Here is a 14,905-nt window from a genome sequence, read left to right on the forward strand (position 1 = left end):
TCATTTTTGATTTATGTATAATTTTAAAGTAATATGTATGGTCCTATTGAGAAAGTTTAAAATACATAATAATTTAAAGAATGAAATAGAAATTATCTCTAATTTCAAGCATAACACTAATGTTTTTAATATTTTGATGTATTTTTTATCAGTTTTTCATAAATATGAAAGGCAAACATTAAGTCCCATAGAAAATTTGTTCTTATGTAAAATTATCTCGTCAATTTCTGAGATAGTGGGTCCTAACAAATGGGCAAGTTTTTAAACTATTCTACCAACACTTCCTGATCTATAAAATGGGCATGATAATAGGGACTTAAAACAAAGGTTATCATGAAGATTATCGAGTTAATATCTGTATGACACTTAAAAGAACTAGTTACGTATACTGAGTGCTGTATATTTTGTATTTTTTTTTTGGAATGGAGAATCTTTTGATGCTATCTCTTGCATTCCTAAAAACAATATAAAGTGGTGGGAGAGTGGTGTCTGGTGTGAGCCTGATGATGTTAAATTTCTTTGCATAAGAAAAGAGGTGAGAAATTGAGACACTCACAGGGAAAATCTAGCCTATTACTGTCCATGTGAAAAATAATGCAAGCCACATATCAACTTTTAAATTTTCTAGTAACCATAGTAAAAAGTAAAAAGAAACAGATAACATTAATTTTAATAATATATTTTATTTAAACCAATATATCAACAATATTATAATTGCAATAAAAATCATAGGATATTTTATATTATTTTATTTGTACTAAATATCCAAAATCTGATAAAATGAAGCCAGTTCACTCCTCAGTCCCAATTTTATTCTAAACTCCAAATTTTGGTTTTGTTTTGCCTTTACAGTTTCTTGCAGTTAATTTTATATAAGTATTTATGTGAGCTATGATTTATGGAGATAGTTCATGTTGAACATGCAGCATATTTGTTTTATTCGATGGCCTAATTTCAAGTGCATAGCAGCCACAAGTGGCTGAGTGAGAGCTATCATACCGCACAGATTGTAGGACTTGTAGGACAAGAGCCAGGACAGACTCAGTGCCTGTAATGGTGCAAGGGAACAAGGTAGAGAAAAGGTTCTTTGATGAGCAGAAGGTAGACATCAGGGTGAACAATGGAGAATTTCAGAGGACAATCATGTTTTCTGTGTGTACCCATTACCCCACTCACAACACACACACATTTTAATGAATCTTTAGTTAAATATCCATGTATCAATAAATTTCTGGTGAATTAAATTTTTTTTTTTTTGGAAAAGCAGGAAAATGTTAAATCCCATCCCAAGGCTTTTTAGCCACAAGTATATTTGTGAGATGTAAACATGTAAAAACCTACTGCATATAATACTCATAGGCTTTGATTTTGGCTTAGGTGTTGTCTTTATAGTTTCCTGTCGTTAATCTTATAAAACTATTTATGTGAGCTATCATTAAGTATGCAATTCTTCATGTTGAGCATGTAGCATATTTGTATTTTTATTGTTACAATGACATTAAACAAACACCCTCATGAATAAGTCTGTGTGCTCATCTCTGATTATTTCCTTAGGCTGGATTCTGGGAAGTGAACTTATGGAATCAAAGGTTATGCAAACATGTAAGTTTCTTGCCATATGTCTTCAAATTTATTCTCATAAGATACACAGTGTATGCCAGGATTCAGTTTAGACACTATATTCCTTAAATAATGACATTTTTGATGGAAGAAAATGGCATATTATTCATATTATTGCTGTTGTTATTGTTTTCAGTTTCAAGTGTGAATATTTATGTTGAACATTTCTCCTTGGTCTTGTTGGTCCAATTTTTTCTTTTGAATTGCTTGTTTATATCTTGTGCCTGCAGGCCATGTCATTACTTTTTCATCAGACTCCTAGGATTCCCTGTTCCATCTAGCCAAGTGGGTATGCAGAGAGGTAATGTGATGAGGAGGCCCTGCTGCCGGGCCTCAGAGATCTCACTACCGGATGGTAGTCATGATAAAACATACTGCAGTTACAATCAGTTAAATCTGAGTAAGCAACTAAGCTAACCTTTGGAATAAATTCATATACCCCCGAGGTCTGTCTGCTATAATAGCACTACTAAAAAGCAGACAAATACTTTGAGTTTTATAATTTAAGCTTTGCCATCCCCTTAGAAGAGGTTTGACTTTATGAAATATATCTGTCTGCAAACAGCCTTGGGGCCTGTGTGCTCCTTTTGCATTTAACCAGCTATTAAAAATCCCTCAGAAGCTGTGACCTGTATAGGTTCAATCTGCTTTGGCTAGTAAATCAGTTAGGCTGGAAGTTCCCTACAATTTTTTTAAAAGACATTGGAGATACTAAAAATAATTCTTCTGTCTTTGTAGAGGTGAGGAAAATAATTCAAAAGTGGTTCAAACATAGTCAGAATCTGTCCATCATAACTAATCACTCTTTCCTGCCAAAATACACTTACTCATTTATACCATAAATATTTGCATGCCTGCTCTGTTCCATGTAGTATATTAAAAAATGGAGCCAACTATAAATTAGACATTTCTTATCCTGAAGAAACCAAGTTTGGTGAAATAAAGAAAAAATCATAAATAAATGCAATATTAGGTGATAGATGCTACAGTAGAGTTGTGGTCAGGAACTATACGATCATAGAGGAAAAGAATAACCACGTGGATTGAAAAAAAAAACCTTAAAAGAAAGTTGATATTTGAGCTGAATTTTGGGATATGGGTTGAAGTACCCCCAGCAAAAAGGAGGAAAGAGAAGGGTAGATCTTACGGAAAAGAAACAAGGAATCCCCTCCCTACCCACTGCCAGTGAAGGGTATATTAGAGAATTTTAAATAGGAAAGTGATGGTAATCAGAACACATGAGCCTTTTTCTATGTCTCTTCTGGGTTTCTATCACTACCCAACTGTGATGGTTAATAGTGAGTATCAACTTGATTGGACTGGAGGATGCAAAGTATTGATCCTGGGTGTATCTGTGAGGGTGCTGCCAAAGGAGATTAACATTTGAGTCAGTGGACTGAGGAAGGCAGAAACACCCTTAATCTGCTGGGCACCATCTAATGAGCTGCCAGTGAATATAAAGCAGGTAGAGAAAGATGAAAAAGCAAGACTGACCTAGCCTCCCAGCTTACATCTTTCTCCCATGCTGGATGCTTCCTGCCCTGGAACACTGGACTCCAATTTCTTCAGTTTTGAGACTTAGACTGGCTCTCCTTGCTCCTCAAGCTTGTAGACAGCCTATTGTGGGACCTTGTGATCATGTAAGTGAATAAACTCTCTCTCTCTCTCTCTCTCTCTCTCTCTCTCTCTCTATATATATATATATATATATATATATATATATATATACATCCTATTATTCTCTACCTCTAGAGAACCCTGACTAATACAGATTTTGGTACCAGGAGTGGTTCTAGAGAAACAGAGTATTACAGATGGATTTCTTTCATTGGTTTTGGGGTTTCTGGAGTTGGCTGCTTAATATGATTAGACCTAAAACTGCTAAGGACTCTGTTTCTAATAGTATGGAGAACACTAATAGTGCTTGGCATGAACTGTTTAGAGAGTTATGCAAAACAAATGCATTTGACACTCCTGATTCACTGCTCATGAGAGGGAAGGAGTTTAGTGACTCTATACATAATACCTTTGACCGTATGTGGAGAACCGAGGAATGCAATGAAGCTGGTTGGTTGTTCCTAAGTTCAGTGGACAAAGTGATGAAAGAAAATGATGAACTTAGGGATTCTGTCTCCTGGCTTCAGAAGTAGATGATGACCCTCAAATCTGCTAAGATTTCCCTGAGTTAGTCTTATCTCCTGTAGAGAAAGAGCTGAAATTGTGGAAAAACAGACAAAAACTCTTATCATGTGAGTGGCTGACCTGCAATGAAAGGTGCATGCACAGCCTCGCCAGGTGTCTACTGTTAAAGTGAGGGCATTGATTGGAAAAGAATGACACCCTGCGACTTGAAATAGGGGTGTGTGGGAGGACCCTGATGAAGCTGGGGACATTAAGTTTATAAACTCTGATGAACCTTTTTTCCAGAAGGAACAGCTTCCCCAACCCCAAGAGTGGCAACATCCCCTCTCCAACCCATGCTGCCATCAGCCTTTCCACCTTTGTCTGAGGAGATAAACCCTGCGCTGCCTGAAGCAACAGTGATGGCCTCCTCTGAGGCAGTTGCCAGGCAAAATGATGTTGATTCTCCTCAGGAGGATTCCCAACACCCCTGTTTGCCTTTAGACCTATAACTAGACTAAAGTCTAGGAGGAAATACTAATGGCAGGTACAGTTCCTGTTTCTGCAGCTGGTCACGTGGTTGTAGCTGCTATTGATGACTACCTTCTTCTACTACCCATTCTGTATTCCCTTTGCCTTCAGCAAACACCTCAGCAGGTCATGATTTTTTTCCTGGTGGAGTAACCCAAACCTTCATTCTTGAGGGATCTGGACCATTTGTAGCCCTGCGTGGATTGGGCTGTTGTAGTTTCCCATTGACCTTAATCACAGGGCATGGTTATTACCATGATGCCCTAATGGATCTCCTGTATTCCATGCACACTCTTCATTACTTCTGTTATGGAGTAGTAGACTGATTTTATCTTGATAGTCCAGGTCAATCACCCCAGCCAACACTTTAACTCCCTTCTTAGCATGTTGACTTAAAGGTAGGAGCCCAAAGTCCAGGTGGCGATCTTAACTTCCAGTTTAATGGAATAATTGACGTGTCTCTTGGTGGCAGCATTCCAACCTCTGGAACTAAGACCTCTAGGCCAGCAGAATGTAATGTCGTGGGAACAGGAAGCACAAATTTTGCTAATGGATCACTAGGAATAATGGTGAGTGGTGCCACTTCCACTTCCACCCCTTGATTCCCAAACCTTTGAATCCTGGCTATGGGAGAAACAGTACCATATATTGAACGCTGATACAGAGAATACATGGCCTTCTGGAGAACTTTGCCCCAGCCCTGGAAAGTATTGTCACTTAGTTGGCATTGTGATTGTGATTTCAAAAGGCCACTCCACCGTTCCATCAATCCAGCTGCTTTGGGATGATGGGGAACGTGGTAAGAACAGTGAATTCCATGAGCATGAGCCCACTGCTGCACTTCTTCTTTTTTTTTTTTTTTTTTTTTTTTGGCTTTAATCTGCCTTTGTACATGTTTATTTATTTATTTATTTACTTTTTATTATACTTTAAGTTTTAGGGTACATGTGCGCAACGTGCAGGTTTGTTACATATGTATACATGTGCCATGTTGGTGTGCTGCACCCAGTAACTCATCATTTAACATTAGGTATATCTCCAAATGCTATCCCTCCCCCCTCCCCCCAACCCCACAACAGGCCCAGGTGTGTGATGTTCCACTTCCTGTGTCCATGTGTTCTCATTGTTCAATTCCCACCTGTGAATGAGAACATGTGGTGTTTTTTTTTTTGTCCTTGCGATAGTTTGCTGAGAGTGATGGTTTCCAGCTTCATCCATGTCCCTACAAAGGACATGAACTCATCATTTTTTATGGCTGCATAGTAATCCATGGTGTATATGTGCCACATTTTCTTAATCCAGTCTATCATTGTTGGACATTTGGGTTGGTTCCAGGTCTTTGCTATTGTGAATAATGCCGCAATAAACATACGTGTGCATGTGTCTTTATAGCAGCGTGATTTATAATCCTTTGGGTATATACCCAGTAATGGGATGGCTGGGTCAAATGGTATTTCTAGTTCTAGATCCCTGAGGAATCACCACACTGACTTCCACAATGGTTGAACTAGTTTACAGTCCCACTAACAGTGTAAAACTGTTCCTATTTCTCCACATCCTCTCCAGCACCTGTTGTTTCCTGACTTTTTAATGATTGCCACTCTAACTGGTATGAGATGGTATCTCATTGTGGTTTTGATTTGCATTTCTCTGATGGCCAGTGATGATGAGCATTTTTTCATGTGTCTTTTGTTTGCATAAATGTCTTCTTTTGAGAAGTGTCTGTTCATATCCTTCACCTACTTTTTGATGGGGTTGTTTGTTTTTTTCTTGTAAATTTGTTTGAGTTCATTGTAGATTCTGGATATTAGCCCTTTGTCAGATGAGTAGATTGCAAAAATTTTCTCCCATTCTGTAGGTTGCCTGTTCACTCTGATGGTAGTTTCTTTTGCTGTGCAGAAGCTCTTTATTTTAATTAGATCCCATTTGTCAATTTTGGCTTTTGTTGCCATTGCTTTTGGTGTTTTAGTCATGAAGTCCTTGCCCATGCCTATGTCCTGAATGGTATTGCCTAGGTTTTCTTCTAGGGTTTTTATGGTTTTGGGTCTAACATTTAAGTCTTTAATTCATCTTGAATTAATTTTTGTATAAGGTGTAAGGAAGGGATCCAGTTTCAGCTTTCTACATATGGCTAGCCAGTTTTCCCAGCACCATTTATTAAATAGGGAATCATTTCCCCATTTCTTGTTTTTGTCAGGTTTGTCAAAGATCAGATGGTTGTAGATATGCGGCATTATTTCTGAGGGCTCTGTTCTGTTCCATTGGTCTATGTCTCTGTTTTGGTACCAGTACCATGCTGTTTTGGTTACTGTAGCCTTGTAGTATAGTTTGAAGTCAGGTAGCATGATGCCTCCAGCTTTGTTCTTTTGGCTTAGGATTGACTTGGCAATGTGGGCTCTTTTTTGGTTCCATATGAACTTTATAGTAGTTTATTCCAATTCTGGGAAGAAAGTCATTGGTAGCTTGATGGGGATGGTATTGAATCTGTAAATTATCTTGGGCAGTGTGGCCATTTTCACGATATTGATTCTGCTGCACTTCTTTAGCCATAAAGTGAGTGCCTTTGTCAGAAGAAATGATGTGTGTAGTACCATGACGGTGGATAAGGCATTCAGTGAGTCCAGGGGTGGTAGTCTTGGCAGAAGCATTGTGTGCAGGATGGGCAAACCCATATCAAAAGTAAGTGTCTATTCCCGTGAGAACAAACCTTTACCCTTTCCATGATGGAAGAGGTCCAATATAATCAACCTGTCACCAGGTAGCTGGCTGATCACCCTGAGGAATGGTGCCATATTGAGGGCTCAGTGTTGATCTCTGCTGCTGGCAAACTGGGCACTCAGCAGTGGCCGTAGCCAGGCCATCCTTGGTGTGTGGAAGTGCATGTTGCTGAGCCCATGCATAACCTCCATCCCTACCACTATGGCCACTTTGTTCATGGACCCATTGGGCTATGACAAGGGTAGCTGGGGAAAGAGGCTGAATGGTGTCCACTAAACGAGTCATTCTATCCATTTGATTATTAAAATCCTCATCTACTCAGGTCACCCATTGGTGAGTACTCACATGGTATACAAATATCTTCACAGTTTTTGACCACTCAGAGAGGCCCATCCACATACCTCTTCCCCAAATTTCTTTGTCACCAATTGTCCAATCATACTTCTTCCAAGTCCCTGACCATCCAGCCAAACCATTGGCTGGAGCCCATGAATCAGTATATAATCACACATCTGGCCATTTCTCCTTCAATGCAAAGTGCACAGCCAGGTGCCCTTCTCGAAGTTCTGCCCACTGGGAAGATTTCCCTTCATGACTATCCTTCAGTGAAGTCCTAGGAAAAGGCTTGTAGTGCTGCAGCTGTCCACTTTCGTGTGGTATCTGCATATGATGCAGAAGCATCTGTGAAACATGCCCCAGTCTTCTCTTACTCTGTCAGCTGATCATAGGGAACTCCCCATGAGGCCATCAGTGCAGGCTGGAGGATAGGAGGCAGGATTGCAGGAGTGGAGACCAGGGGCATTTGAGCCACTTCCTCATGTAACTTACTTGTGCCTTCGGGACCTGTTTGAGTCCAAACACGTATCTACCACTTTCATTTGATGATGGAATGCTGCTGTCCATGACCCATTTTATGGCTAGATGGGTCAGAAAGCATCCAGTTCATGATAGGCAGTTCAGGTCGCATGGTGACTTGATGACCTCTAGTCAAACGTTCAGTTTCCACCAAAGCCCAATAATAGGCCAAGTGCTGTCTCACAAAAGGAGAGTAGTTATCTGCACAAGACAGCAGGGCCTTGGTCCAAAATCCTAGAGGCCTCTGCTGTGATTCACCTATGGGGGCCTTCCAAAGGCTCCAAACTGCATCCCTATCTGCCACTGACACCTCAAGCACCATTGGATCTACTGGGTCATATGGCCCAAGTGGCAGAGCAGCTCACACAGCAGCCTGGACCTGTTACAGAGCCTTCTCCTGTTCTGGATCCCACTCAAAACTGGCAGCCTTTCAGGTCATTTGATAAATGGGCCAGAATAACATACCTAAATGAGGAATGCATTGCCTCCAGAATCCAAATAGGCCCGCTAGCCATTGTGCTTCTTTATTGGTTGTAGGAGGGGCCAAATGCAGCAACGTATCCTTCACCTTATGACAGGTCCCACACCACTGGACCCCTAGAAATTTTACTGAGGTAGAAGGTCCCTTAACTTTAGTAAGATTTATTTCCAATCCTCTGGCATGCAAATGTCTCACCAATAAGTCGTGTGTCTTTGCTACTTCTCACTCTCCAATCAGCATAATGTCATTAATGTAATGGACCAGTGTGATATTTGCAGAAGCAAAAAGCAATCAAGTTCTCTTCGAATGACACAAAGTCAGAGAGTTGATATACCCATGAAGTAGGACACTAAAGGTATATTGCTGGCCTTGCCAGATGAAGGTAAATTGCTTCTGGTGGGCTTTATGGGCAAGAATGGAGAAAAAGACAATACCAGCTATGACCACGTGACCAGCTGCAGAAATGGGAACTGTACCTGTCATTAGTATTTCCTCCTTTTTTGTTAAAAACATGCTTGTGCATGTATACATTTGTACTAAGAAAATATCTTCATTTTATTTCCTTTTCCTTTATCATTTGACATAAAATTTATTGACTTCATATCAGCATTTAAGTATTGTTAAGTTTATGTAATAGTATTTGGGTTGGGGATTGGTGCATTTCCTGTTGTACAAAGGATAGTCATATTATGTTAGGCGTAATTATGACCTTATTATTGTCTTTATTTGAAGATTATGCATGATCTCAGGAGATATGTATGGGTTCAAGTTGACAAGGGGTGGACTTGTGATGGTTGTTACTGAGTGTCAACTTGATTGGATCGAAGGATGCAAAGTATTGATCCTGGGTGGGTCTGTGAGGGTGTTGCCAAAGGAGATTAGCATTTGAGTCAGTGGGCTGGGGAAGGCAGACCCCACCCTTAATCTGCTGGGCACCATCTAATCAACTGCTAGCAAATATAAAGCAGGCAGAAAAACATGAAAAAGTGAGACTGGCCTAGCCTTCCAGCCTACATCTTTCTCCTGTGCTGGATACTTCCTGACCTCAAACATCAGACTCCACGTTCTTCAGTTTTGAAACTCGAACTGGCTCTCTTTTCTCCTCAAGCTTGCAGACAGCCTATTGTGGGACATTGTGATTGTGTAAGTTAATACTTAATAAATTCCCCTCTCTATATAAATACATCCTATTAGTTCTGTGCCTCTAGAGAACCCTGACTAATACACCAACTACTTTATGCTTCAAACAGACTTGAAACACTTGTACATCAGCTCAGAGTGTGCATTGTCCACTGCAAATACTAGTGCAAATTAAGAAGAAGAGAAAAAAGAAGGTCCACGAGCTACCAATGACATCTAGGACTGCTTCTGTCTCATAGCACATACTCCTCCCACAAGGACTACAAATGACAAGAGAAAATTTGTATAATTGGAATTCTGGACATTTCTCAAATGCTCATTGACTCAAATACTTTCTGCTGTATTTGGAATTTTCAAACCAAAACATGATAGCAACCAGACCAGAAAAATGTAATTGACCAGAAATGTCCTACAATATTTACAATATACTCATTTTTCTGCATGTTCAATTTTAAAAGTTGGGTATTCTGTACTGGAATCTAATGGGATTTGACTAATAATCCTCACAAAAATGATGCCAGGATGTTCTTCAGCTTTTGATAGACTTTAAAATACACAGGCAGCATAATCTTGAGCAAGAAAAGAGCTGACTTTCTGTACAGGAGAAATAAAGAATAGTGTAGCACTTGACAACCTTGAAGGTGACTTTTCCAAGTCATTGATTAACAGGTCCATGCCCTGAAATTCAAGTCATGGAGATTTGTTACAGTTCTCTCAGTCACTAGAGTATTAAAAACCAAAATGCATCATTAACTCAGAAGCGGCCTATGCCATTTGGCAATAAGGGATCGTTTTCACTTTGGGTGACAAAGCCATCTGTGCAGATTCTTTGGACTTTAATACTAAAGGATTGTTTTTTGGGTTAGAGATAAAAGCAATCATTTTCCCACTATTATTCACTTTTATCTGTTTAGTCAAAATGTATAGATTGCTGGGAAGAACCTTGGTGTAGATCAGCTCTAATGAACAAAAACAGTGTTGGAGAGTGTCCATGAAAGGAAATTCAGCAGATTTCCATGGCAATAGTCTACCAAGATGTTTAGCTTTTTTCTTAGAGGGATTTAAGGAGTTGAGGACTTGGGGAAGTGGAGTGGCCAGCAGGAGGTACAGAGAACAATTTCTGTTTCCTTCTCTCCCTATTGTCTGAAAAACCAAAACCTTAGTTAAAAGCTCTTTTCTCTCTGATTTTGTAAACAGCACTGGAAATTACACAGAAGGTAAGTAGCATTAGCTTTAGTAAAGCTGGTTTTCAAAAAGTATATAATGCTATTCCAGGAAATCCTTATTTCCAAAGTAATTAAAAACCAGCCTTTATTCATTGTGATATTTTACTTCTCATGGATACTTTCATGTGATGTGTCAAGGAGATTACCTGGGCACTCAGTCAGCAATTTAAGTCAAATCCCAGCATCTAAGTATCTCAGGGAAGCCTAGTTCTTGCTCCAACTTTGATGAGCCTCAGTTTCTTTACCTGCAAAAAGGGGAGATTGTAGCACTTCTTTTCCTTTCTATGCAATGCGTGATTCCAAGTATCAAACTAGAGAATGAAAACATGTGGGTGCCAAAACCTCCTAAGCTATATAAAGTCTGCATATTCATATTCATCCTGTCAAATAGGCATTTTCAAGTCCATTGTCTTATTTAACCTTCAAAACAACACTGTGAAGTCAGTGGCAAAGCTCAGAGAAGTTTTAACTTAATAAAGAGGTGTTATGCTTCATTTTAGATTTTTGTGATATAAAGATGATTACAACACAACCCTTCAAGAAATAAACCATCTGTGGGGATATAGATGCAAGTAAGTTGCAATATAGTGAGATAAATAAAACAATGAGATGAAAAGGATAGAAATGAGACTATGTTTGGACATAGGAGTATGAGCCCCCTCTGCTTGCCTAGAATAGAGGGTAACTGAAGAGGAGGATGGAGGTTGTGAGCATACATGAGTGTGTCTCTGTGTGTGTGTATGTGTATGTATGTGTGTTAGTATATAAGAAAATGTTTCCTAGTGGAGAACATTAAAGTGCATTTTAGAAGGTTGATAAGTTCACCCAGCAAACTGGAGGACATTTCAGGTTGGAAAAATAAGAGTATTCAAGTAGGAAGATAAATGGGCTTTATACAAATGTTAACATGAAGTTAACTTGTATTAGCACAGGTGCTTAATAATAAAAGAATGATGTAAATTATGTAGACAAACAGGAAAAGTTAGAATTTATCCTTCATTTATGACCAACAATTAGATGTTGCTTGAAGACTGAACAACATAATGTTCAAACATATGAATAGTTTTTACCCTTCTCTTTCTTCCTTCTGTTTAAGTAGCATTTATTTCAAAATTATTCAGCATTACTTAGAGACAAAGACACCCCCATATCTTTCTTTTCCATGGCTTTTATGGCCTTTAATAAAAATTGATGATTCTTTTCCCTCCCCTCATTTGATGTAAAAAGTCAGGCAACTTGGACATTTCAAAAACCAAGGCAGCCAGCTTGGTGCCATAAAGTCTGAGATGGTCAAAAACATCTCAAGACGGGATAGAGCTGTGTCTAATGGATAGCAAAATATGGAGCCATGAAAAATGAACATTATAACAGTGGTATATTGCATCATTTCTCCCAGTTATCCACTCCTTTGGCATGTCTTTGCATTGCTTCTGCTTCTAAACCAGGTGTACTTTCTCATCCCATCAGTGCTGACCTTGGACAGGTGATTTGGTCAAGACATGATTTGAGCAAAGTATGTACAATATATTTGTGTGATTTGGTTTGCCTTATGTGCTCCTTGATTCATGTAAAGACCATTTCTCAGATCGTGGTTCCCCCTTCAGCCTGAGATCAAGAATGAAACACAGTAGAGCAGAGCCAAGCCCTGCTAAGCTTGTGGAAATTACCCAAATCTCAGCCAATCTAAGGGTCTGTATTTAAACAAAATTTATGTTTATTTCTATGTAAGTTGGTGATATTTGGTGTTGGTTTTCACACAACAAAAATCAGTTAATACTATTCTTTTGTTTTTGTACAGTTAGTGGCTCAGTAATTTATTTTTTTCTTTTCATGACACCCCAACTGTAAAAAAAAAAAAGCTAATGGTTCAATTTATGAAATAGGCAAAAACAACTAATAGGTATTTATATTCCAACAACTTAGTAGCTGTATATTAAAGTAATTCTTATAAATTTAAAAACATTTTTATTCCATTCTCAAATAACTGCAGCTACTTATAAGTTGAGTGCCATATAATTTTTTGAATCTTGTAATCAGATTGATCAATTTCCTCTTCCACATTTACTCTTCCATATTGAGTTTCATGCAGTGCTGGCTTTCCAACACAGCAACTACTGAGAAGTAGATTTCTTAAATATATGGCATAATTGAAAGAAATGTAGCATGATCTAATGTTAAAACTTTGAGCTACCTCAAGCTAATAGTTCATGTAGTGCCTGACATGTGCCATTCTGTTTTCTTAATAAATTTAAAATATTCCTCAGTATCACTTTGGTAACCTCCATGGGGAGCATGAAAGAATACAAGAAGCCACTCTACCACGCAGTATTTTTGGAGAGTAAAGTCTTTGAGATCTCTACAAACATAGGTTATATATATCCTTTTGAAATGAACTTGAGGCACCACATTATTTTTTTCCTCATGATCTGCCTTAATTTAAAAAGCGTAATACAATCTCCAAAATCTCCCAGTGTAGGACCTCAAAAAACAGTGTTGGGGCCCAAAACCTTAAAAGCAAGTCCAAGGATTCTTCTCAAGGAAAGTACCAAGAATGAACACGGGGAAGAGGAAAGATGTTCACAGCCTGAGTATATTGTATGTGCTTGAATCTAGGTTATGGTAATGATTTATTTTGTGCACATATGGTTCCAAACATTTGGGGAAAGATAAATTGGTCATAATATGGTATAAAATGATCATTTACACTCAGATGCAAAATGAGTAACACCTGGAATCTGTCTTCAAATAGGATGAATTCAACCTTTTTGTTAGCATTACATCAAAATTTTTTTAAAAAAAGCATTTAAGCAAGGTTTGGATATGCATATCTTCTTGGTCATATCAATTAAGAAATAAAAGGCATGGAGAATTTCTGTGTTCAGACAGCACATGAGGAGTGTGTCACAGAGGCAATGAAAAAAGATCATATGAGTAGCCAGAAATAGATTAATTCAGTTAATTTTGTTATACACAATTTCAATGATCTTATAGTAGCTATGTTCAGGGATTTTCTACAGGTTGCTTAAACTTTTAGACATCAGTTCCTCATCTTTAAGTAAAATGATAGCTTTGATTAAAACTATGTATTACTCCATTCTCATGCTGCTAATAAAGACATACCTGAGACTGGGTAATTTTTAAAGAAAAGAGGCGTAATTGACTCACAGTTCAGCATGCCTGGGAGGCCTCAGGAAATTCACAATCATGATGGAAGGCAAAGGGGAAGCAAGCACCTTCTTCACAAGGCAGCAGGAAGGAGAAATGCTAGCAGGGGAAATGCCAGATGCTTTTAAAACCATCAGATCTCTTGAGAACTCACTCACCATTATGAGAACAGCATGGGGGAAACTGCCCCCATGATCCAATCACCCCTCACCAGGACCCTCCCACGACATGTGGGGATAATGGGAAGTACAATTCAAGATGAGATTTGGGTGGGGACATAGCCAAACTATATAAGACTGTCTTTATGTCCTTGTCCAAATCTCACTTCACATAATTTTATAAAGAGCTATATTATGAGACTATTCAAATAACTTCCAAAAATATTCATGTGGACAATTCAAAAATTCCAAATTTATGTGATCAAAAAATGATTCTTTTATAGCAATGTGTGCTATATTTTCATATTAGACTATTCAGCATTTCTAAAAATGCAGACACAAAAACTCTTTTCAAAAATACAAAATGTGGAATTACAAAGTTTAAAAACATACAACAATCCAGTGATGATTCTTTGGTTTGGGAACTAGTGGAAGTAATTTTGCATCTCCTAACCATTCTGCAAGAAAGAAAGAACATCTTTGCGGTGTGAAAAGTAAATGTGTAGAAGCTGCTCTTTTTTTATTCTCCTCTGAGGCAAAGAAATGATTTTTTTAAATGTAACATATCAAAGCTAGAAAGATAACAAATTCCCAGATTCAGCTATTTTCATAGACAGTGGAAGTATCCACTGTAATAAAAATGAATAAAATACTCTGCCAGCATCGACTCAAAGAAAGTAGAAGGAAAGTTTGCTGGCTTTGGGACTAAGGTGCTTATCCCTCCCACCCCCCAACTTTTACCACAGTTGTCTATTATAACCATTGCTAGGCTCTTCTATTCTGTGATAAAGCTTCTTTATCAAGTTTAAGGAATAAAATACAAGCACAAGTGGTGATTTTGTAATACAGGAGGTGGTCCTTTCTGATAACTGCTGGCTTCTATTTAACTT

At 38.4% G+C, this 14,905-nt stretch overlaps 1 annotated feature.

The window, feature by feature from the left end:
• Positions 1,754-1,954: a silencer, noted in NCBI's record as "peak4571 fragment used in MPRA reporter construct". NCBI's record gives its function as "represses an SCP1 promoter by STARR-seq MPRAs in K562 erythroleukemia cells {active_cell/tissue: K562}" and the evidence as "EXISTENCE:reporter gene assay evidence [ECO:0000049][PMID:32103011]".

Source organism: Homo sapiens, chromosome 3 (assembly GCF_000001405.40).
Source record: "Homo sapiens chromosome 3, GRCh38.p14 Primary Assembly".
Taxonomy (NCBI): Eukaryota; Metazoa; Chordata; class Mammalia; order Primates; family Hominidae; genus Homo; species Homo sapiens.